The sequence below is a fragment of the Homo sapiens genome, chromosome 17, assembly GCF_000001405.40.
Source record: "Homo sapiens chromosome 17, GRCh38.p14 Primary Assembly".
In the NCBI taxonomy this organism is placed as follows: domain Eukaryota; kingdom Metazoa; phylum Chordata; class Mammalia; order Primates; family Hominidae; genus Homo; species Homo sapiens.
Window position 1 is genome coordinate 77,051,582 of NC_000017.11, and position 2,776 is coordinate 77,054,357.

General features: G+C 55.7%; 1 annotated feature.

Annotated features, from left to right (window-relative positions):
* Positions 1,254–1,997: an enhancer, noted in NCBI's record as "H3K4me1 hESC enhancer chr17:75048917-75049660 (GRCh37/hg19 assembly coordinates)". NCBI's record gives its function as "activates a minimal SCP1, AML or CMV promoter by ChIP-STARR-seq in naive H9 embryonic stem cells {active_cell/tissue: H9 hESC(naive)}" and the evidence as "EXISTENCE:reporter gene assay evidence [ECO:0000049][PMID:30033119]".

Below are 2,776 nucleotides of genomic sequence, written 5' to 3' on the forward strand. Positions count from 1 at the left end.
GATTTTTGAAAGGCTCCAGGTGGGTCTGACATTGAGACAACAGGGCCACTGCACTGACGCTTTTTTTTTTTAATTGTAAAAAACAAGCCCCTGCAAACTCTGGCTTGATCTGGCTTTGAGAAAGCCTCTCTATTCTTTCCTTTCTTCTTCTTCTTTTTTTTTTTTTTAGAGAGAGGGTCTAGCTTGGACTCCTGGGCTTAAGCAATCCTCCCTAGTAGGTGGGACCTCACCTGGCTGAGTCCTTTCTGTGTAGCATCTGCACACAGGTAAAACTGACATTGAAAATCTCAGCAAATTGGCAAATTAATAGACAGGTAACCCCCAGGAATGACTTCATTTCCCTTGTGAGTACTAATACTCCCAAACGTGGTGTGGCCTTTAAACACCGTATAAACCGCTTTGCAGAAGTTCTTGTTTGAGCATCACCAGTGCCACAGGGAAGCAGTTATTCATCTCAGACTTCTGTTTCCTCAGCTGTAAAATGGAGCCAAGTGGCTTGCGTGTGTTTGCTGGGTTTGGGGGAAGCCAGGGCTCCAACCCAGGCCTCTGACTCTGGGCTCAGGACCTCTCCCCCTTAACTTGCTTACGAGACACACTAGAGCCACGTCCAGGAGGAAAGGTAGGCTGCCTGGGGGCAGAAGGTGGTGTTTTCTGCAGAAAAAGAACATCAGGGGCCGGGCGCAATGGCTCATGCCTGTAATCCCAGCACTTTGGGAGGCTGAGGCGGGTGGACCACCTGAGGCCAGGAGTTCAAGACTGGTCTGACCAACATGGTGAAACCCCGTCTCTACTCAAAATACAAAATTAGCCGGGCATGGTCATGTGTGCCTGTAATCCCAGCTACTCGGGAAGCTGAGGCAGGAGAATCGCTTGAACCTGGGAGGTGGAGGTTGCAGTGAGCCAAGATTGTGCCACTGCACTCCAGTGTCTCACGCAAAAAAACAAAAAACAAAAAAACAAAAAAAACCACAGGGATTGGGGATAATCCATGGCCACCGTGATGGTGAGGCTCTCCCAAGGCTAATTCTCCCATCCCGCAAGGGCAAGAGCCCTTTCCAGATGCTCCTGCAGAGATGACAAACCATGAGAAGGGTGCTTAGCACTGCAGCAGGTTGGTTGGGAGGGCAGAGGTTACCTGCAAGACAAGGCCAGCTGGGGTGAGCCCCGGCAGGTGCAGGGACAGGGCTCCTGGGGCTGACGACTGGAAGCCTGTCCTCCCCTTGGGAAGCCTGGCACTCCCTGACATCAGGGCTCCTGCCTGGCTGTGGCTGGCACTTGGCTCTGGACGACTGTCTCTTGGATCACAGAGGGGCCAGGATGAGGACTGGGCAGAGTGGGGCCCTCTACATGGAAGGATCTCACCTCCCACTCGCTCCTTCCATGGGGTTGTCAGAGGACCGCAGACCCGTCCTAAAGGCAGCACAGACACAGAGCCTTAATTCTAGTCCTTATATCACAGTCCCCACCCCCGGGATAGATTGTGCTTTTTTCCAGAGTCAGAATGGGGACGCTCAGGGCTTTATTGAACGTTTATTGTAAATACCAGTTTTGTTCTTCCCATTAGAGAAGGAACGTGCTGTCTCCACGCTGCCGAGGTGGAGGGGCGTGGGGAGGAAGCTGTCCCTCTGCTGGCCGTCCCTCCCCTGCTCTGGTGGCTCCTCGGGGGGCTCACAGCACAGGTCCAAGTCCTCAATGTGCCAGGTGAGTCCTCCCCACTGGCAGCTCCTGTCCCCTGCCGCCAGCCTGTCTTGCATCAGCCACACCATGCCCTTTAGTGTCAGAAGCTCCTCGGCTTGGGGACCCCTGTGGCTTCTGTCCTGTAGACCCCACGCCTAGCACAGTCCCTAGCCCATTGCACCCTGTGGGTGTCGCTGAGTGAATGCCTTCACGGTTCCTCCTCCCTCCTCTTCTCTCCACCTAAAATACTTGTTTTCCAGTCCTCCATCTGGAAATGTGACTATGTTTTCTCATCCATACACAGCGATGCAATAGCGCCAGGCTCACTGGCCAGGGGAGTGATACAGGGGGGCACCTGGCACAGTCGGGCACAAGGTAGTCACCGCACAGCCACCACCACTTCCGTCATGGTCGGTATCATATAGCGGGGCAGAGATTGGGCTTTGGAGCCCAGAGAGGCCTGTGTTCAAATCGACTCTGCTCTGACTTGTGGTGTGGACTTGGCCGCGGGACTGAGCGCGGGGCCTGCTCAGGGGCCAGCGTCACAGGGAAGACAGTCCGAGCAAGCATGGGTCAGGGCGCTGAGGCTTCCTCCTGCGAGCCAAAGGGAAACTCAGCCACGGGGACTCAGGGAGGCCTGTGGGGCAAGTCTGAGCCTCCCTCTCGGTGGCCAGTGGGCCTCTCCTTAGGTGCCTGGGGCACCTTCTCACCCAGCAGCTGGCTGCCTGGAGTGGGCAGCCCCAGGGGCTGGGTGGTCCTAGCCATGTGGGTTGGACTCTGTCCACCATTCTGCCCTTTCTGCTCACTCAGGTTCCTGCGAATGGTGTCGGGCCACCGTCTATATCTTCTTCTCCTGCCTCAGGACACAGGGAACCTAGGGAACTCCAGACAATGGTCGAGGACTGGGGGAGCCCCCAGGGTTCCTGAGTCTCCTAGGAGGACAGTGGAGCAAGGATTTGTGTCCGCAGGCTGGAGTCAGGCTTGCATTTGATGCCCTGGTTACCTTTGCAGCATCTGGGACAGAGTGGTGTGGAGATAGGGAGGGGGTTTTGCCCTGGGCCTGCCCAGGTGTTACTTCACTTCCCCAGCACTCATCTGT